This window comes from Homo sapiens, chromosome 5, assembly GCF_000001405.40.
Source record: "Homo sapiens chromosome 5, GRCh38.p14 Primary Assembly".
NCBI classification, from domain to species: domain Eukaryota; kingdom Metazoa; phylum Chordata; class Mammalia; order Primates; family Hominidae; genus Homo; species Homo sapiens.
Genome location: NC_000005.10, coordinates 133,818,983 through 133,841,773, shown reverse-complemented (window position 1 = coordinate 133,841,773; position 22,791 = coordinate 133,818,983). Strand labels below are relative to the sequence as shown.

The 22,791-nt window shown below is 45.2% G+C and overlaps 1 protein-coding gene across 1 annotated transcript in view, besides 1 other annotated feature; it reads left to right on the top strand.

The window, feature by feature from the left end:
• FSTL4 (follistatin like 4) overlaps nt 1–22,791 on the top strand; it is a 645,613-nt gene that overhangs the window by 294 nt on the left and 622,528 nt on the right. The window lies entirely within an intron of this gene.
• Nucleotides 16,905–16,954: an enhancer, noted in NCBI's record as "active region_23105". NCBI's record gives its function as "activates an Ori minimal core promoter by ATAC-STARR-seq in GM12878 lymphoblastoid cells {active_cell/tissue: GM12878}" and the evidence as "EXISTENCE:reporter gene assay evidence [ECO:0000049][PMID:35858748]".

Genomic DNA, 22,791 nt, shown 5'->3' with positions numbered 1-22,791 from the left:
ACATTGTTGACAGGGAACATGGCATAATGGAAAGAATGCAGGCTTTGGAGCATCATCAGCTGGGGCCTTCCCTGCTGGCCCTGTGCTGTGTGTTGGGTGGCGTTGGCTCTGGGCACATGGCTTGCCCCTCTGAGCCTTACCGTCCTCTACTGTCAACAACAACCACCATCTCTACCTCACAGTGGGGAGTGGTTGTAAGGACCAAAAGAGAGAATGGACATGTGTAAAGGGCTGTGTAGGCCATCTGGTACATAGTAGGTGGTCAATATGGAGCATCTTATTATTTCTAGAAGAACTCGGGCTCCTGTATTCTCAGAGGAACCTCCTGGTGGATATGGAGGCCAATTTGCTCACTTGTTTGTTCTTTCTGCAAGAGTTTGGTGCTGGGTGCGGTGATACCGTGCATGGCAAATAGTAGGTGCTCAGTAGGTATTTATTGTCTGGATGGCTACAGAGATTATAGACAAGTTCTTCCCCTTTGGGAACTTAACCTAGGGGTGATGGTGGTAGTGGGGCTGGTGAGTGAGGATAGTTTCTGATTTTCCCAGGCCAGTTGATCTTACTTTGATACCCAGGGCCAAAGAAGCCTTGAAGATGCCCCCATCCCAGTGGGTCAGAGAAATTGCCTCCTTCTTCCATAGTCTGATACTGTTGTGGACACAGCCAGGAATTGCAGGGAGAGAGGTGACTGTGATTTCATCCCAGTTGGAAAAGACAATGCAGATGTCCTTAGCCAGTGGCAAGGTGTCAGTGGTACCTTGTAGACATTGCCGCCTTGTGGGCATGAGGAGGTCTCCATCCCCTTCCCAACCATGCAGTTCCTCTGCCTCCATCAAACCTGGAGCACACACAAACCTGCACAGCAAGTGCTTAGCAGAGAAACAAGCAATCACCTTTGGAAAATCTTTGTGTGCTATTTTGGAAGACTTGAATGAATTCCTGGAGAGGGGTCCCCCTGCAGAAAGATTGACAAGCGAGTGATTTATCTCCTCTTATACTTCAGTTCTTTTTGGAGTACGGGTGCTTGCCTCCAGGTTGAACTCCTCATTCTCAAATCCTGTGTAGACTTTTAGCCTGGTAGCTCTGGCTTGAATAGCCAGCTTTAGAATCAGTTGGTAAAATAAAGGTTGACTTTGCTGCTGCTAAAGTTGAAGAAAGCAGATGGGCCTGTGAGCACATGGAGGGCATCTCAAGGGCCCAGGAGCTGGCAGCCTTTGGGCCCTGGGACCTTTACCTTCAGAGGTTAATTGTGCAGAGACCAGCAAGAGTCCAGGACCCTGTGATGGTTCAGCCATTCTGAGACTGAGGACTGGAAAATCGGAGTGTTTATTGCCTCCATTTTTTATTATCAGCAAAACTTTAATTACAGCTCTCACTAAACCTACTACCTTCTGCCAGCATTTACAAGGCAATAAATTTCCCCTTCTCTCCTTACACAATCTGAACCTCCAATAGGGCTGTGCATATGCACTGGAAGATATTGATTCCCCAAAGAAATTATAACAGCATTTGTTCTCAAGTAAACACACAGAGAGGCTATTACAACACTGAGGAAGAGTCGATTGTCTCTGTTTTATTAAACAACACAGCTCTCAACTGGAAGCACAACTAAATTATCAAAAGATTGGTAGAACAGACAGGCAGCAATGCCTGTAATGAGGCTTTGAGTGGGAGGACTCTGTAATGTGAAGGGTAGAAGGAAGGTTTTGTCCCTTTCTCCTTGTTTCTTACTCTCTCATCAAACCAACTTGCTCTCCCCCACCTCTCACCCCTGCAGCCCTTTAGCATTGAAGGGGCATTGATCGAGGCTGTCAGCTAAGGAGTGGGCAGCTCACTGTAGCTGGCAGAAATGAAGCTCACACAAGACCTGCCAACTGGCTAATGGCCCCGTGTGTATTGGCAGACAGTAAACAAAAGCCTTTTAAAAACTTCTTGTTGTGTTACTGGCAGGTGGAAAAGGTTGATGCATTCATCAGCCTAATTTGGAAAATGGTACATGGCCCATCTTTGCTTTGGAACACCCAAAAAAGCATACCACTCAGCAAAGGGGCGCTCAGCCATGACTTAGCTCCCATAAGGCAATTTGAGACACAATGTTTTATTATGAACAACTTAGCTCCACAGTCCCGCAAGAGCAATGGTGGGATCAGAAGTCTAAGGATGCTCTGTACAATGTTTGCATGTTCTGTACAATGTTCATGGGGTGTTAATTTCTGTCCTGCTAATAAAAAGATAGCCCCTCAACCCACTTTCTGTCATTAAATAAATTCATGAAAATGGGGATGAAACAAAGTTTTCTTGCTACAGGACTTTTCAGAGGCTTTACGCTAATATGCATTATGAATCTGGAAGAGGGGGAAAGAATATGTTACATTCTCTGAAAAGAAATTGTAACAGAATTCTTATCTTGTACAAACAGCGTTTTTACAGAATATTCTTTGTGCAGTACTCATCTGCAGGAATAAAGCAAAGGTAGAGTGGACCATGAGGAGCGGTGTGGATTTTCTTTATTGGGCTTCTAGAAACCAGCCTTGGGAGTGAGTCTGAGTGGGGCAGCAGGAGACTCAGGCCATGTCTGCCTAAGCTTTGCTGAAATGGTGCCAAAGCTCTCACTGGGTCTCTGAGAAGATGGGTTCAGCTGAGCTGACACAAGGGCTCCAACACAGAGGTATCTCCATTAGAACACAGTCACGGCAGTCTTTTCTCAGTGACAGAAAACTCCGAGTTATCGGAGAGGGGATTTTCTACTCCTGGAAATGGCAGACTGACTTGTTTGAGACCAACCTCCTATCAAGGACAACTGGAGCCATTGTGGCAGTTGTATTTTCCAGATGGCCACATCACTAGCTCGCCCATGCTGTGTGCCCATGCGTGTGATGTCTCCTTACAGGGAGACATTGACTCACCTGCACTGAGAGGTGGCTTTTATGTTTCTTCCCTTCAACACAGATAGGCCTTTGTAATTGTCACGACCAGCAGAATGCAGTAGAAGTGAAGCTGTGTGACTTTCAACACTATGCCATAGAAATTACCTCCTGCCTTTCCTTTTCTCCCCTGGGATACATGCTTTTGGTAGCCCTGAGCCAATTTGTAAAAGTCCAACTAATCTGAAGCTTCCATGTGGTAGCAAGTTACAGGGAGAGAGTACATAAAGATAGTTAGAGACACTGGAGGAGCCCAGTTTTTAGCAATTTGAGTCTTTCCAGACTGGGTACCAGACATGCGAGTGAAGCAGCCTTTGAGATGAGCCCAGCCAAAGCCAGCATCTGATTGCAACCTCATGGGAGACCCCAAACCAGAATCGTCCAGCTCAGCCAGCATCTGACTGGAAACTCACGGGAGGCCCCAAGCCAAAATTGTCCAGTTGAGCTGCTCCTGAATTCCTGACTACAGTAACTGTGGGAGATAATAAATGATTGACTTTGTTTTAAGCCACTAAGTTTTAGGGGAATTTGTTTTGCTGCCATAGTAATTGGAATACAACTCTACAAAATTAAATAAAAAATGAGTTGAAGTCTTCGGAAAGCTATCAAGGTGACAAGAGCTTGGCTCAAAGGGCCAAGATTCTTGGAAGAAGAAAAATCTTGGCTGGGCACGGTGGCTCATACCTGTAATCCAGGCACTTTGGGAGGCTGAGTGGGGTGGATCTCCTGATGTCAGGAGTTCCAGACCAGCTTTGCCAACATGGTGAAATCCTGTCTTTACTAAAAATGCAAAAATTAGCTGGGTGTGGTGGCAGGTGCCTGTAATCCCAGCAACTGGGGAGGTTGAGGCAGGAGAATCTCTTGAACCTGGGAGACAGAGGCTGCAGTGAGCCGAGATTGTGCCATTGCACTCCAGCCTGGGTGACAGAGCAAGACTCTGTCCTAAAATATATATATATATAAAATAAAAATAAAGAAAGGAAATCCCAAGGGGAGAGCCATATACTTGGTGCTACTTTTACCCCAAATTTGCTGACGTGAATGCAGCTGCTGAGAGGCTGAGCAGAAAGTGGCTCGAAATGCCTGAGATGTTGATCATAGCTTTTGGCATTTTTCATGGGACTTCAGGGGAAAATTGTGGTTCTACCAGATAGGAAGTCCTGGTAAACACCTCCCCAACTTTGAGTTGAAATTTATAAGAGTAAAGTTGACCTTGAAATAAGCCAGCTCTCACAAAGGCCATCATTAAATCAGCTCAGTTATTTACTGGATTAAGGTCATCTCTTCCTACTCTAACTGCCACCAGAAACAAACATGAACCCTCTCTTGAATGAGGCCACATCATCCAGAAACTCACATTATCTCTACAGTATCTGGAATCCAGTAAAGAAATAACTAGGTGTGCACAAAGACAATAATTGACTGAAAACCAAGAGAGAATGCCTGTAGGAGAATAGACTTACAGGAAGCCTGGAAATTGGAGTTATCCATCATGAGCTTTAAAATGACTGTGGTTAATATGTTCAAGAATTTGAGCAACAACATTGAGACTTCTGTGGAGAATTGGAAACTATATAATCAAATAGAAATTTGAGAATTGAGAAATCAATAACTGAGACTTCAATAGAGGGATTTAATGGCATATTAGATGCAGTGGAGGAGCAGATTAGTGAACTGCAAGAAGGATCAGTAGAAAACTTCCAGTTTAAAAGACAGAAAAAAAATGATAGGAAATACAGGAAAGAGCTTAAGAGAAATATGTGAGGTGGTAAAATGGTCTAACATGCGTAACTGGAGTCTTAGGGAGGGGTAGAAGCCATATTTGAAAAGATAAGGGACAAGAATTTCCCCAAACTGACTAAAACATCAAGCCACACATTCAAGAAGCACTATGAACCCCCACATAGAAAAAATTAAAAGGAATACACCTAGACACATCACGATAAAACGACTGAAAATCAAGGAACAAGAGGAAATCTTATAAAATTCAGAGGAAAAAAGGACAAATTTCCTTCTAAGAGCAACAGTGAGCGTGACACTGACTTCCAAGGAACAGCGGAAGCTTGAAGGCACTGAAATATCACATATCAGAACCATGGTGAAACAAAATAATCTCCAACACAGAATTCTATATCCAGTGAAAAACTTCGGAGACACATTTTTAGACAAAAATTGTGAGAAATTATTATATCCACCCTAAAAAAAAAAAGGAACATCTGAAGACAGAAGGATGTTGATCCCAGATGGAAACATGGAAATTGAGGAATGAATGAAGAGCAACAAAAAGTATAAATACATCCACACACATACATGTGTGCATATATGTATGGGTAAAAATCTGACTATGTCTTCTAGGGTTAAAAATATACAATTAAAATACACAACAATGTACAAATGGCAGTGGGTTTGGGACAAATGAAATTAAAATTTTAAATTTGTCCAAGAAGTAGTACAAAATACTAATTTACTTTAGGCTTTAACAAGTCAAGAATGCACTCAATATAGGGTATGCACTATAAGATTTGTAAAACGATGTATAACTAACTAGCTAAGAGTGAAGAAAAATGAGATAGTGAAAATACTTGATCCAAAAGAGGTAAGAAAAAGAAACATAAAACAGACAGGACAACTGGAAATTAAACAGTAAGATTATAAACTCAAATATATCAGTAATTACATTGAATGTAAATAGACTAATTACAGGATGAAGATTGTTAGACTAGATAAAAACAAAACTCAACTATGTTTCTTAGAGACATATTTTTATATGTGATAATTCAAAAAGATTGAAAGTAAAAGGAGAAAAAGTAACTTTTACTGTGTATTTACTATGCAAATATTAATCGGAGGCACAATGTATAGAGGCAAGAATCATTACCAGAGATAAAAATAATCATTTCATGATGATAAAGTGTCAACATACTAGGAATCTATAACAAATCCAAATTTATAGGCACCTAATAACATAGCTTCATAATATAGAAAGCAAAAATTGTTAGACTCAAAAGGAGAAATAGACTTATTTATAATCACGGTAGGAAATTTTCTTTTCAAGTTAATAGAGTTTTCCCAACTTTTTCTCCCATATATTTTTTTCTTAAATATCTGGGTCCTGATACCTTTTATTTGAAGTTAGCACTAGCAGATGACAAAATAAATAAAAACAAGTATCACTGGAAAATAATAGCAGGGCAGGCATTTTCTTAGAGCTTGCTTTACCTGTGGTCTTATGTGCTCATGGAGATTTCTGTAGTATATATAAGTAGAGATTACTCACTAAGAGAGATCTTCCTGGTTCATATGATACAGATCAAGTATACTGCTACATCCAAGTGTTACATAGTAAGTGCCCTGCTTCCTGGGTGTCTAACTACCTGAACAAATTTCAGGAACAGGTAAGAACTTTAAAGAATGCCAAACGTCCATTTTGGTGCTCTTCCAGAACCATGTTCTTCTTACTGCCTAATATTTTATATCAGTCAGCAAATTGAGGCTCACACACAGAACACACATGGGCTGATGGGTATTGGCTGTGAGATGCCCAAAAGTGGAAAGACAGACTATCAGAATCGGGACCCTTGAGAGTCAGTAGCAAGAATCAAAAGTGTGTCCCTAGTCTTAAGTGTGCTGGGCTCCCAATGTTCCCGCCTGCCTCTTCAAGGCAGCCTGTTCATCCATGCAGTGATGATATAGAATCATGGGAAAGTTATAGAAGACCATGGAGGTTGCTGTCTTTGTGTGTGTGTAGGAGGAGGGTACTGATCTACGTGACTTATTTAGCATTGAGAGCAAACTTGCCTGAAGCATCTGGATCTTTCTTAATTCACTTATTTTTAAAGAGTTTTGCTTCCTTTTTATTGTTTTTACACATATATGTTCAGTGTAGAATAATCAGAAAAAAGACAAGAAGGAAAAAATTCACTCATAACCCTACCCCACAAATCACTTAATTTTTATGCATTTTTCATAAAATATATATAATATATATCATAAAGATATTTTCAGTCTTTTTCTCATTTTCCAAAACAGGATCTAACTATACATGTTATTTGATAGCTAACTTAGAAAAATAACTTTTCAATTGTGTCAAGAACACCTTTGAAATCAATAAATATACAGATTTATATTTTTTTAGTTTTTACTTCCATTTAATGCTTATTTTTTCTGATTCTATAACAATATGGAAAATGAAAAGTAGAATTCAGAAAATTAACACCTCTAGAGATAACTACTTCCATTTTTGGTATTTTGATATTTTTGATATTTGGTGTTTCCATCTTGATACTTTTTCCAGTCCTTTTTCTATGTATGTCTATAATTGTTACTCCCCCCACCCCCCACAAAATTAGGCTCATATAATGTATGGCAGCATTATCTTTAATGGCAGGATGGTATTTCACTTTATCAAGGTACCATTTTTAATTTATATCATTCCTTACCTTTAGTCATTTACTGTTTCTAATTTTTTTTGTCATTAGAAATGATGCTGTATCTGTTTGTTGTGTTACCTGTCTTGTGCTTATCCATTTTTTTGAAAAAAACAGTAGATGTAGGGCTATTGCTTAGTCAAAGGGGGTGCCCATGTTTATTGCTTTCAATACATATTGCTCTAGAAAAACCATGCCAGCTTACTTCCCCATTAGCACAGGGTCTCTGGACTCCCTCCTCTTACCAACATGGGATATGATCCTCCTTATGAACCTTGGCAAAGCCAGTAGATGGAAAATGGTTCTTGATCTTTAAATCTGTATTACTCTAATCTCTAGCAAGACTGAATATGACTGAATATTTCTCAGACTTTCATTGTTCATTGTTCATTTGTGTTTCTTCTTTGGTCAGTTTCCAGGTCATTCTAGATTAATTCTGTGGGATCAAAATAGGGACACGTCTGACTTCTTTAGAAGACTCTTAGATAAAGAGCTAGATTGAGTGGGTCCAAAGGCTCTTTCTAGTTTGTTTCTGTAGTCAGATCCAAAAGGGTTTGTTTTAAATTGTTGGACATTATATCTAGTCTTAGAATATCTAAACTAAAAGAGCTTATAAATATTATTTTTCCAACTCCTAGTTTTACAGGAGGAAAAAAGACCCAGAAAGGACAAGGGACATACTTGAAGTCACATGGCATACCTTTCTGCTTCTGCCTCTTCCTGTCTCATTATTAAAATGTGATGTCTGGAATGGTTCATTCTGTCTGGAATCCTACTCATCTCTTGGGTTAAAGACGGAAAGGTTGGGTATGAGACTGAGATTCCCAAACGGTCAGTGTCACTGATGAGACAGATGAGGAGAAAGCCCAGGATGAATGTAAATACCCTTGAGAAGGAAAAGAAAGGTCATGACTCTGAAACTTCCCCGTGATTCTAAATAGATGTAGGAGATGTTGTCAAGTTTCAGCATATTCAGGATCTGCTTTAACGAACAGATTAATATTCTTTATGCATAATTTATGATTTTAATAACAATGGGTACTACAAAAAATAAAGTATGTTTCAAAAAAATCATTTCTTAATAATCTCTTCATATTGCAATTTTGTCTAGTCCATTAGTTATCTTAGAAAATCCCATCAGAGACCATTTCAGAGGGTAGGTTTGCTGCAGTAACAACCTCCCAAATCTCAGTGACTCCAACAATCAAGGTTTCTTTCTTGCTCACTCTCCATGTCTGCTGGGAACTGACTGTGGGCTCTGCTCCTCATAGGCATTCATGGACCTGGACCGATGACAGAGCTGTCTCAGCAGGGAGAGGGGATATAGCAAATCATCCACTGATTTTATTTATGGCAGGGGTTGGTCAATTATGGCCTCGAGACCAAATCTGACCTTTCACATTTTTTTGTGCATTCTATAAGGGTTTTTTTTAAACATTCAAAAATGGTTAAAAAAACAAAAGATTTTGTGACACAAAAATCATATGAAATTCAAATTTTGGTGTCCATTAGTAAAGTTTTATGGGAATACACCACACCCATTTGATACTATTATATATGGCTGCTTTGGTGGTGCCACAACGGCAGAGTTGGATAGTTGGTGACAGTGGCCATATGACCACAAAGCCTTAATGTATGTCTGGCTTTTTATAAAAAAAGTTATCTGCCTCTTGTTTTAAACCACCTACCAGGCACTAATATGTGATGCTCATACTCACATTTTGTTGGTCAAAACAAGTTTAATGGTCTTGCCTAACTGCAAAAGAGATGGAGAAATGTATGTAGGGAGGAAAGCTGGAAATATCTGGTGAATGGCCATATGGACTTGCCCATGGGCAGAGCGAAGGTAAATTCCTACCTAGTATCTGGCTGAGATTTCACCAATTCTTAATCAAATCTGGACTAAAGATAATTGACTATAAATGTCTGTTAAAAGCCTGAATTGCCTTCGTCCACACAGACCTGGTCCTCCCTCAGAATGACTGCCATCGATCTGTGGTTATTCTCATAACTGCAATTTACAACTTGATAACAACAGCTAGAGAAATTTATAAGCAACCCAATGAGCAGTTTTAAGAAAAAAAAATCAATTCTAGTTCTCCTGAGTACAAGGGGACATTTAATACTGTAAATCGTCTGAGCTCAGCTAGAAAGAGAAAAAGAAAAACATTTATTTTCTTATTCACAGCTTCCTTTAGAGTAATCACTTTGGAGTCTTATCTGGGAGTAATGTTTCCCAAACAATGCAGGAGGCGAAATCGCAAGGCTGACACTGCTTCCTGAGACAGCATAAACCCCTCCACCAGCTTCAGACAAGCCCCAGTTAAGTCCGCAAGTGCTAAGTAAGCCACTGAGTAAATAAGAAAATGCGAGTCATTTCAAAATGTGATTGTAGGGCTGCTGGATTTAGAACCCTCTCATGAGATGAGGACACTTGCTCAGCTTCCCTCCCTGGAGCTCCACCGTGTAGTTATCACCAAAATGAGCAGCTCAGGCGTGCCCTACCTAGGCCACTTTCTGACCCTTGGACACAGGGACCCGAGAGAGCCAGCTTGCGAATCCCATCCAGCGGTGCCAGAGAGTCAGCCTTGATCAGTTCTGGCTCCCTGAGATGTTTCCTCCCTGTCCCCTCTCTCACAAATTAGCATTCCTTTCTTTTTAAAAATCTCCAAACAGCTCTTGTGCTTTTGCAAACCACACTTCTTCATAATGAATCATCCCCAGAGGGCACATCTTCATGCAGTCTTTCCTACTTCCTTATGGTTCTGGCAACTGAGTAATCAGAGGATATAAGGGCCCTTGTTCCCTGCCATGAAATAAGTTTATAGAGAGATAATTAGCAACAATATTATCTTCATTTGGACTTAGCCATGCTAAATGTCCTATAAGAGTCGTTTACGAGGTGATATGAATGGTAATGGTATTAATAACGCCATTAGCCAGAAGTATCAATATTTTCCACCACTCACTGCCTCCTAATGAGGTTGCGTGTGGAGTTCTCGGGTGGGGATGAGCTGGTGGATTTATAGAAAGTTGTAAGGAAGCACTTAAGAGTCATTAAAAGGAATTTGGTAACCTCAAGATGTAGGGCCCTTGTCCTTCTTGGAGTTAGTAGCTCAGGGAAAGTCTTCATATGCACAGATACAGCGGCCTGGATGCACCTTGCTGTTTGAGAGGTTGGACCAGGGGCTATGCAGACATACCCTTCCATGGGGTCCAGCTCTCTTGCTACCTCTAGGACACTCAGAGCACTCACTGGGGCTTAAATCCATGTACCTTGTGGTGGACAGCCTTGGCTCATGGGCTGTGTGGAACCATGGTTTCATTTTCAGTATCTTTTACAACACCAGGGCAGAAACAACTTCACCTCCCACCTGCTAAGCGTCTCGGCCCTGTGTTTTTCAGCACTCTGACAGGTAGTGAACATCTCCCAAATGCCCCTATAATTATAGTGGGGAGAGCTGGGAGGCCCTGGATGCCCTTTACAGATGGAGAAACTGAGGCTCAGAGGTGATCTGTTCTTGATGAGTGGCCAAGCAGAGAACAGAGACCGTCTCTCTGAGTTCCTAGGCCCAGACTTTAAATGGATGGATAAGAGAAAAGAGGAAGCTCCAGTGTCAGGCAGAGGGTGCTTCAGGCTGTGCCGCGGAGTCTGGGGTGTTCACCTAATTGACGAGGACTCCCCTAAATGAGGCAGAGCAGCACGGAGCAGGGAGTGCTGGGACTGGAGGCAGGAGGCCAGCACAGGTGCCAGCTCTGTCCTTTCAAGCATGGCCCTGCCTGAGGCTCGGTTTTTTCATCTGGGAAGTGGGGATGATTTTCTGTCCCGATGGTCTCTGTGCCTGTGAGAATCACATAGAAGGCTTGCTGAGAAAGCATTTGTGCTTCTGTGTCCCTTCCCTGGCTCTGGGAGGCTGGGCAGAGATGGAGGGAGAGTGAGTACAGTGAGGCAGGGCCTTGCCCCAGCCCTGTGCCCTTGTTGGCAATGGTGGCCCCCCACTTCCTCCATGCGGTGGTACTTCCAGACCCTGTCCCTGGCAGGGCCTCTGAGAGCTACTTCTAGCCATGCTGGGCAGCACCCCTAGGTACAGAGAGCCAAGTGGCTGGCTCTTCTGACACAGGCACATCCAGATTTATGGCCCAGAAGCCTGCTCAGCCAGGGGTTAACTCATCACTGAGGCAGCTCCAGATCTCACACCCCTCTGATCCTTTCACCTTGACTGGGGTACTCAAGTCTGAGCACAAAATGAACACCCACAGTTCTGGGTCAGGGCTATGACTATCTCATTAGCCCATTTGTCCACTGATGTGAGGACATGCTTGTTGATCTTGTCACTGGGGCCTGCATGTCAGGGAAACATCCTCAGAGCATGTCTGAGGGCAGAGGTGGGCCCACCCCTCATCCTCATCCAGGCCAACCTTGGCTGTCACCGGGGGGATTCCATCCCTCAGTGGGGGCTAGGGTCTTGTTCAAGACCTCATGGGAGTCTTGAGCCAGGGTAGATCACTAGATTCCCAGACCCAGAGCATCTTCTCAGGGCAGAGGGACTATGGCTGTGAGGGTGGAGGGAAGCTGACCGGCCGCCCTGGAGCAAACCCCAGAGACCTTGTCTCTGGGGAGGCTTTCTTCCTCAGGGCTGGCAGCAAGGCTCTAGAAATAGCCTCTTTGAGAATAAGAGACTTCATAAGAAGAATTGGCATGAGGTTCTTCTATCTCTCCCTGGGCTGGGACATTTGGGAGCCAGCAGTTCTGGTTCTTTTCTACCACTCTCAGAGCAGCAGGGGCAGCAAAACCATGAACCCTTTCTCTCCCCCTGACAACACAAGGAAAGCACCTGTCAGCCTGAGTGTTGGCAACTGTGTCTAATTCTTCTCCCTACTCACTTTGGTGGACACAGTAAGTGCTCAATATAGAGCAGGTGCTGAATAAATGAATGGGAGAGCAGGGCACAGGGAAGGAAGAGCTGTTTGGTTTGGGTTTTGGTTCCACAAACAACCATGAAATGTTTGAGCTTTTTCTTTCTTTTCTTTTTTTTTGAGACAGAGTCTCACTCTGTTGCCGAGGCTGGAGTGCAGTGGCGCGATCTCAGCTCACTGCAACCTCTGCCTCCCGGTTCAAGCGATGCAAGTCCTGAGTAGCTGGGACTACAGGCACATGCTACCACACCCGGCTAATTTTATTTTTTTGTATTTTTAGTAGAAACAGGGTTTCGCTGTTTTGGCCAGGCTGGACTTGAACTCCTGACCTCAGGTGATCCTCCCACCTTGGCCTCCCAAAGTGCTGGGATTACAGGCGTGAGGCACCATGCCAAGCTGTTTGAGCCTTTTCTTGGAGGAACATGAGCAATCCCTCTGAGGATTACCTGAAGAAATGGTGCCTTTCGGAGGTCCCAGATGAGAAGCACGTGGCCCCGGGAGGCTCTGCCGTGTGTTTCCATGCTCCCCTCTGCTGGTGAGGCTGCCTGCCCGCTGTTATGTGGCTCCTCTTAGCCCCACTCAGATCCTATTATGCCAACGCAAATTGAGTTACAGCATCAAAAGCTCTTTGTTTAGTGAAGCAAGCACTTCGTATTGGTTACTACATCTGTCTTGTTATTTTGCATCATCTTTGCTAGAAGCCTGCATGCATGTCCTTGAGGAGCAAGCTGTAAAGACTAAGTGATTTATGAAATCTATTTTGTACTTTTGGTTATTCTTAAATGGGATAAATAGTGGTGTTGGGGCTCCAGCGTTTGCAGAGGAGAGAACCAGCAGTCCGGTGTCCCCCTTGGGCCTGGAGGATCACGGTGCCCATAGTGCCTGATGCAGAATTGGCTGAGGGTGTGACTGGGTTTTCTCTAGAATTTAATTAGGCACAGTCTGTTACAAAAAGTTGACAAATAGGGCACTCGTTCCTACAGAACGGATGTAGCGATCTGAGATTAAGAGTGCCAATTCTTTGCATTTGTACAGTTTTTAAAAAATAGCACTTTTTCACATTATAAAAGTAATATGGTGTATATTGTAGAAAATTTGGAAAATAGAGACAAAGCACAGTGAAAAATCCTGTCACTGAGGGTGAAGCATTGTGAACACTTTAGTGCGCAAACTTTAGGATCCACTAGGCACATGTGTGTATGTATACCTATACATATGTACTTAGAATTTTTATAAGAAAGGTGTCAAGAGCGCACTTGCTCTTTCCCTTCCCAGCCCTGGTGTCTTTGGTTCCCCAGGAAGCCACCAGACCCACCAGCTCACACGAAGCCTTCCTTGTTCCTGGCCCTTGTCCTCCCCTAGGGAATCTTCCCCAGCTTAACACACAGCAGAGGAGGGTGACTGAACACTGACCATATGTCCCCAACCCAATGGTCTGTGTCCACCGGGGTGGAGTTTCCATGTTGCCGCCAGGGACAGGAGTTGGGGTGGCCAACCCTCTGGCTTCCCTCGATGGCTTTGTGACCCAGGAGATACCAAGTGTTCAGCATTTCTTGGCAGCTCTCTCCTGCCCAGGGGGCTGGGATAGCTACTGACGCACAGGGTGTGGCTGACCTCTCAAGTTTTGAGGCAAATCTTGATCCTTATAGCCTGCAAGACCCCCAGTTGTGCCCATGCCTCATGCTCTGTCCTTTGTCAACCCTGGGTTGTTGAACATGACCCTCTTCTGCTTGAGGATGGCTCCAGAGAGGTGTGTGACCAGCCTTGTGTGCAATGTACAGAATTTGGGGTGAGATAGTGTGGAAGAAACCCATGGCTTTGTAGGTCTTTTCAGCCTGTGGAGGAAAATCATACAAGAGGAGTCCACAGACTTGGATGTCTTCTCTCTGGTCTTAAGAAAAACTCTTCTTTTGGTCACTGAAAAGTGATGTTTAAAGGATCTCCATGTTGGTGCTGATATATAAGAGAGTATTTGCACAGTGTCCACTCTCCATTTTCCTAGAGAAATCAATCCTCCTCGTCAGAAACTTGTGGTCCCAAGACTATCTGCATCCATATCAGCTGAGCTCAGGGGCAGTGTTGGGAGGCAGGCATCCGCGACACTCCTTAGTCAATATTCTCTGCCCTCCCAGCTCACCCTGACTTTGTTCAGTTGATCGCCCCGCTGCTGTCAGGAAGGCCTGTCCTTGAACATGGTTGAACGATTCATTACCTGTCAGAGGCAGCCAGGTGTGTCTGTGCTGGGGGCTCACTTAGTTGGCTTAGTAATTAAAAGCAAACAAAGCCTGGATGGAGACCTATTGGTGCTGCTGGGGGCGCTGAGGCAGAAACAAGCAGGCAGGCAGCCAGGTCCCAGAGCCGAGGATGATGCGGTATCATAAGAGGTGACAGAGTGCTGCTTCCCTGGAGTGGGGAAAGCAAATGGCTCCTCTGCAGGCCGTCTTTACGGACCCACAAAGTTCCTGCTCCCATCTGGGCCTGGGGCGGGACTGTCACTGGGCGTGCCATTGGGCCTTCTGTGGTGAGAGGGGAGGAGGGCAAGGCCTGTTCTCAGATCCCTGCCCTGCTGGGCCCTGTTATTGGAATCACACTGGGTGCTGGTGACATCCTAAGAAAAGACAGAATTTTAGTTATTAAGTCAGTGGCAGTGGTGGGATTCAAACCCAGTGCTTCCTGACTCTAAAAGCCAGACTCTTGTTTTATTCCCTTAGGTTGGGGTATAGACTAGGTTGAATAGGTGGTCCCCCAAAAGATGTATCTACGTCCCTGAGCCCAGTGTGTGTGACTTTATTTGGAAAAACAGTTTTGCAGGTGAAATTAAATTAAGGATCTTGAGATGGGGTGATACTCCTGGATTACCTAGGTGGGCCCTGCATCCAAGTGTCCTTGTAGGAGAAAGGCCAACGGGGGATTTGAGACACAGAGAAGACACACGAAGAGGAGGCAGTGTGGCCACAGAGGCAGAGGTTGGAGTGATGCGGCCACAAGTCAAGGAATGCTGATGGCCACCAGAAGCTGAAAGAGGCAAAGGCAGCTTCTCCCTTAGGGTCCCTGGAGGGAGTCTGGTGTGGCAGGATTCTGGGCTTCTGGGCTTCAGAACTGTGGGAGAATCATTTCTGTCGTTATAAGCCACCCAGTTTGTGGTCCTTTGTTATGGCAGCCACAGGAAACTAACATGGGTGGCTCAGCACAAGTCAAAGGCTGGGATTTTCAGTCCCTTTGCAATCACTGTGGCATCTTTTTAGATATCAGAGGCAGTCCTGTCAGGCTGAGCATGGAGCCATGTGGCGCCATCTGAATCCATCTCTCCAGGCCTCTGGTGACATCGCAAGCTGCCCTAGTCTCAGTGTCCCTCTCATGTAGCCTGGAGTCCCCAGCCATGGAGCGCAGTGGAAGCTGACCTGATGCTGCATGTACTTTTGTGAATTGATTTTGCTCAGCTCAGAAGTTGCCTGCTTCTCACCTGGAGGCAGTGGCAGGAAGTTGGTGGTGTTTGGGGCCTTTTGCCCTGAAGTGGCACACCCCTTCTGCAGCCTCACCGGCAGGCGACCTCAAGGAAGGTTATAAATAGCAGCCGGGGATGGGTTCTGAGTGCCTTGAGGTGGAAACACAATACTTGATGACAGCTGAGCACAGGGGGAGACAGCTCGATGCTGGGGGCCATTGCTTCTCCGCAGCTCTGACGGTAATCAGAGCAGGCAGATGTCACCGACAGCTGGAGCTAATGGGCTGTCAGACAGGGCCGGACCAACCTGGGACATCCTCCGTGCTCCCTGGCACAAGTCCAGTCCAGACCGAGGGCACTCAAGCATGGGACGCCAGGGGAACGGCTTTGATGCCTACTGGTGAGGGCCATGCCCCTCCCTGCCTGGTGAAGCCTTGTTAGGAGTTGGTGGCTCTCCTGCACCCACCCCCGCGGATAGTTTTATTTTTCATCAGTGGGAAATGGTCATTTGAATTACTGATGAGAGATTAAAACTAAGCTAATTCAGTTCAATTTCTTCAATAGACAAAACTATTGATAATTAACCTAGAAGCAAAGGTCAATGCAGTGGTAAATGGCTGCAGAGGCAGAGGAATTGCAATGAGGAGCTATTAGTTTGTGCTAAGGTGGAAATTATACAAGAACCATCTTGAGAAACACTTTGAAATGAGTTCAAGATTCCAGACCAAAGTTTGGTGCCCACCTGAAAGACCTGCATCTCAGCCTGGGGACTTTTGAGCATAGGATTGGCAGGGCTTGTTTCTTGACTATGAAGTCCTGAAAAAGGAGTGAGCTGTGGTTTCTGGGGGGTGTGTCCTTCAAGGTGGCGTGGGAGTAGGGAGACCTGAGGCCTGGTTTTAACTGGTTTTGACTCCTGAGTCTCTGTGTGAGTGCAGCGAGGCACTGAGTCCCTGAGTGACCTCAGTGTCTCTGTGAAGTGAGGAGGTGGAGCCAGGCCACTGAGCCTCTTCATCTCTGCCACCACGGACTCTTGCCCTGTGGTTGTAATGAATGATTCCAGGGACACCAGGAAAAGGTGGGCAGGAAGCTGTGGTGCCCTCTCTATTTTTACACACAGCCACCCTCTGAAGGGGATTCACGCTGTGATTTATTAACTTGTCTGTCTGTGGAGTTGGGTGTCTTGGTGGGAGTCCTGGACTCAGGTACCATTTAGCAACCTTGAGAGTTCAAAGGGCTCAGCCATTGGACATGGTATGTGGTGGTTTCCCGGTGCATGCCTGGCTCCACCTCTCCCCTGCTCAAGGATGCCTGCGTGCTTTGGGCAGGAAAAGCCAAACTTGGTTGCTTTGGCAACAGGGGTCTTGGTGAGAAGCTGGTACACAAGCAGGTGCTTCCAGTGTGCCAGAGAAAGGCACAGGGCCTTCTTCGCCCCGAGTCTTCTTACTTCTCTGATGGAGCTGAGTCATGCATCACCTCTTGTTTAATGGTGGTGAAATATACTCAGGTACTCTGATACTGTGAAATATACATTTGGTCTTCATCTCCCTTTCCTGGCAAGAGATCCTGAAGCCCTGGAATCTCTAGAGGGATATGAGTGTCTTTTGTCTGCTTCTGAGATGGCTGGTGGCCCCTAAATAGCCTCAGGATGGGGGCACATGCCTTGTTCTGTGGATCTCTTTCACCTGGATTAAACTGGTAAATGTAAGTAAAGCGTTTCCCTGAGTTCTGTGAGCTGCTATAGCAGATTAATCGAACCCAAGGAGGGGGCTGTGGGAACCCTCATTTATAGTGGGTCCATCAGAAGCATAGGTGGCAACCCACTATTTATGATTGGCATCTGGAGTGGGAGCAGTCCTGTGGGATCTGATGCTCTCTCCAGGTAGACAGTGTCAGAACTGAATTGAAGAAGAGGACACCCAGCTGGTGTCTGCTAGAGAATCACCTACAGAATTGCGTGGTGTGTGAGAAAACCCTCCCATGCATCTGGTGTCAGAAGTATTGTCTTGAGTGCCTGGGTGGTGTGGGGGTAGAGGGAAAAACACTTTGGTCTTTGTCCCGTCTCTTCAAAGGTATTTGTCTCAGAACACTAGAAGTGGCTTTCAAACATCTATCTAGCAGCAACATTCTTTAAAAAATTAAACCTTAGAAGGAAACTCAATATGTAAGACAAAGAAAAGGGGAGCTGTTCTGCAGCGGGGAGTTGCAGCCCTCCCATCTGGCCCTTTCTCCCCAGGGGCAGGCTGGCTTTGGAGGGGGCATGAGGACTTCCCCATGCCCCAGTTCCAGGGTATGCTGACCTTGGTCAGAAAGCCACCCAATCAGCCTCCTCATTTTACAACAGAGGGACTTGAGACAAGAGAGGGGAGTGGACTGGTCCATGTGTCCCAGCAGGCTCCTGGCCAAGCAGGACTCCCCTGGTTTCCAGCTTGGTGGAGGAGTGGGGAAGGAGACAGGGGCACTCTGTCCGGGACACCATACTGCCTCTCTGGGAGCTATTCTCAGACCTGCTGGGTGTTTGAGTCTCTGACATCCTGAGGATCTGGCTTCCAGTGAGATCTCCCCTCTGTGTGACAAGTCCCCTAAGACTGACTTTCAGACTAAGGCCTCATCACTCCCTCTGTCCAAGGGGGCCCAAACCAGCCCCTGGAGAGGAGGAGAGTGCAGGGCTGGGGAGAGATTCTGGGTACAGGGGCATGATTTGGGGCTGTGCTGAAGTCCTTTCCTGTGGAATGTAATTGTTGCTCAGGGGACCAGCAGGGCTGCTGTGGGACACCCTCTTCTGATGTTTTAATTTCAACTTATTTCCTGGGGTGCTGAAGCTACTTTTGAGAGGAGCTGATTGGGACCTATGAATGGCCCAGGAGCACCTGGTGGTGACCAGCTCTGGGCTCTGCTTTCTTTTCCTGTTTTGTTCTTGCCCATCCAGAAGTTCTTGACTTCTTGCCTTGAAGGTTTGTCTCCTGAACGCTATGGCACTTGATCACCTTCTAATGTACCATATGCTTTACCTGTTTACTTTGTCTATTGTTCATGGTCTGTTTCCATGCCCATGCCCCCAACCCCACCTCCTGCCCCCACATGAAAGCTACTCCAGGGCAGAGAGACTGTCTGATTTGTTCACTGCTGTAGTTTAGGTAAGATCTCTATGGATATTGTTAAAAGGACACATGAATAAATGAATCACATTTCCTTCCCACATATCTTCAGACTTCTGGCAGAATTACCTCTGGGAGGTAATTCTCTACTCTTTGTTTTTTGGTTTTGGGCTTCCTTTTGCATGGCGTTAGAGTTCGTGGGTCCGAAAAAGGATGTTTAATATCTGCTGAAGGACTAAAAACTATTTATTAAAGATGGGATTCATATTCTTGTTGAAATGTTGCCTTTCCAGGAGCATCGGTGCGTGTGCCTTTCCATGACGCCCCCGGAATGTTCACATCCTTAGCTTTCTGGCTTCACCAGGGACCCTCCCTGATTTCCCACGGCTCCACCCTCACCTTCCTTAGATTTCTGCAGTTTTAAAGTCTACTCTCCCATCTCAGTAATGAAGAAATAAACAATGGTTCTGTGTGTGACCCCTGATTTTAATTGGATTTCAGAGCAATTTTGAATGAATGAATGAAGTTTCTGGGCTCTGAGAATATGCTCTTCAAATAATGAGCTGAAACGATTACATTAATTTCCTAAGGATCTATTCCTTCCTCTGCTCAGATTATTTGCAGACACTGGTCAATGCTGCATATAAATTGAGGTCTCAAAAGGCTAACTTAACAATTAATCGGAAGCATCTCCAAGCCCCTAAAAATTGAAATAGCTCCACAAATGGAAGAGGAAATCTACCTTCAGAGACCTCTTGTTATTAAAGATGTGCACTTTGGATACATCAAGGGATTCTGGGGTGAACTCTGTTTATCAGGGTCCAGGGGGCGAGGAGTGTTCATACATCAAAGACATAATTCTAAGCATTTTGTCATATCAGCTTTTCTCTTTGTTCTTGCAATGCAGAGTCTTGGAGGCAAGTCATCTTTGTCACTCAAGAAGTGCAGGAGGTTTGATTGAGAAATATGCCTGAGTGTGACCCCCCAGGGTCACTTGTCTTCATTCTTCCCTTCTCACTGTGCCCCCGTTGGGCTCCCATAAGACCCTTGGCATCTGATCCTCCTGCCTTTTGTGTTCCTCCTCCTTGCACCGCTACGTTCCTGGCAACTGAATTTCCGACCAGTCTCCTTTTCTCTGGTATCTCACTCCTTGTCCTTTCTGAGCATGTTGCCTGGGGTCATAATTATCCTGCTCAAGAATCCTTAGTGACTCCCTAATAAACCCATGGGATGAAGTAGGAGCTCCTCCCTGCTGGCTTCTGGGCCCTGTTGGATCCAGTCCTGCGCCTCCTCCACAGTGCCCTCTTCCCTGTCCCCACATGTGCTCAACTCTCCACTTGAGCTGGAGTCTTCATAGCACCTCTCACCCCTGAGCACACACACTGCCAATTCCTGCCTCTGGACTCTTGTTCCCACTGTTTCTAGAGTGGCCCATGTTACTTATTGTCCCAATCAGGATTATTCTGGTAAGGAAAAGGGACACTGTTAATAATTAATGCTGGAACAGTGGGTGTAAATTGAATTGTCCCAGCAAGCCAGGACATGTGGTCACTGGGGCTGCGTCCTACCCCTGTTTGCTTTCACTTTTCATCTTCATTCTCCCTCCTGCTAAATTCAGCTTCTGTCTCTTTCATCCTTGATGGCTCATTTCCAGGGAGGGTCTGTCTTTAGCTCAGGCTGATCAAGAACCAGATGAGAAGGAAAACTTGACCTTTTGCTGAAGGCATGATGTTAGCATGAAACCCTCAAGAAATTCTGTGACTAATCAGAAGAATATTATTTTTTCTAAAGAAAGGGTCTTCTTCCTTTAATCAGTATTTTTACAATTTAATAATTTCTTTCTTTCCTTACCTCCTTGTGGACTTTTCAAAGCTTGGCAACAGCCTATGAGATAGTTTGTATTAAGCTTTTAAAGGGATACATTATAACAAGTTTTCAGAAAATGTATAGTTTTCAAACACAATCAATGTTTTCTTGTATAACTTCCCTTCAAATCCGAAACATCTCCTATTACCACCCTTTTCTGAAAATAGCAGCTTATTTATTAGAATACACTATCAATAACATACATTGCATTGTTTTCTAATAGTTTAATGTATCTTTTTTCCCTCCAACAAGTTGAGAAGTCCCCAGGGAGAGGATATAAGATATTACATGTCTTGGTTCTTCCTTGGTCCCTAGCTCAGGGCTGGCCACAAACAGTTGGTTTCTGCTCTTCAGTTGCCTGCAAGAGTAAGTGAAACATGAAGCCTAAATTCCAACACTTACGAAAGCTAAAGCTGCACTTGACTCCGGGTTTGGCGAATGTTGCAGAGTTGGGAGCCTGTCACATTGTTCTTCCTGTAAAGTAACTATTTTCTCTCTGTTGTACAGAGGATAGCAAACACTGCAATGTATAAATCACAGACATGAAATTGAAAGACCATGTACATGATCCACAGAGAAAAATATACATAAGTGGAGTAGGGAATAAGGAGGTTATGCGGGTACCAGACAAGCCTCTGGTTTCAAGGGTGCTTCCCTCCCAAAGGGAAGAAAAACAATGTTGTAACCAGGAAGAATGTGCCCTCACAGCTGATGGCACTATAATAGCATAAACAATGACAAGTTCCATAAACGTCACAAATGTGGGAATTTGCCTTGAAGTTCCTTCTGGGATCTAATTTAAAGGCACATCTTGTTGAAACGGAGGTCATGAGGGAAGCAGAAATAAGTGGAGAGAAATGCAGCGTGACAGCTGGACCCTCCCAGCCGGCCCGGGGAAGCTGTGCTGCTCTGTGGGGAAGGACTTCTGGGGGAGGAGGCATGGGTGGAAAGGGGCCCTGGAGGACACAGGCCTCTGCGACTGCAACCCCTCAGGCCTGCTGACACGAGGCACTGCAGAACCTGCGCCGTGCCGTGCTGGGAAGAGGATTTGGAGCAAGAAGACCCAAGTTTGAGTCTTCCTTCTGCCGTTTTCTATAGTTGTGTGACCTTGAGCAAGTCAGTGTACCTATGAGCGGCCACCTCCTCATGTGAAAAATGGAGCTGAAACTAATGCCCGATGGGGCTGCTGTGAGGACTAAACGCAGCAGCCCCATCTCCAAGGGCAGGGAGGGTGGCTGCCACACTGTCATTTGATTAACAAGGAGGTGCTGGCCAGGAGCAGTTGATGTGGAGGTCCCTCAGCCTGAATATTCTTTATGTGCAAGGCTTCATTCAGGATTTTAGTTTTTGAAAAACAGACTATTCCTTTTCTTCTTTAAAATCAGAATTGGAAATTTGAATGTGGAAACAGGAGGTCTCATCTGGAACAATGCGTGGGCAGCCCGGTTTCATCTTGATCTGTGGATGTATTGTGAATTTCTCGGGTCACCTAAACCTGCCTGCGCCTCCAACGGTGCTATGAGTTTAGCAAGTGAAGAGCACACAAACAGATGCTTAAATTATAGCCTACAGTTCAGTGCACCCCTCAGGCTGAGTGTCGTTGCACAGAGAGGGTGAAGAGCCTTGTGCGGGTTCCAGGAGGTCAGAGAGGCTCCTGAGAGCTCAGCAATGACACCTCCATGCTTCTCAGCCACTGAGCAGAGTGGAGGAGCAGGGTGTGAGCAGGGAGCAGACAGAGGCTTGGTGGTCCGGGCATTCCTGAAACCTGCATCTAAAAACTCAGAAGGGAAGGCTTCCTCCCAAGGGCCCTGCACCCAAAAGCTGTTCCTGTCCCTTGCCCAGGCTGGGAGAGACAGAGGGCATGCCTGTTTATTTTCAAAGTGAAGTTGACTTCACTTTCTTGTTCTAGGTGGTTCTTATTTTAGCTGAACCTTGTGCAGTCTCTCTCCAGGGTTGGAGGGAAGTGTTTCATGTGTACGCAAGGCAGGGAAACAGCAGGTTCCGACCCAGCATTGAGAAAGGATTGGGGAAGCTATGTGTGTGGGCGGTGGGCATGTGGGTGGACGGCTGGGCAGATCTCCTTCGTTCTAGAAATTCTGCTGATCTTCCTGGAAATT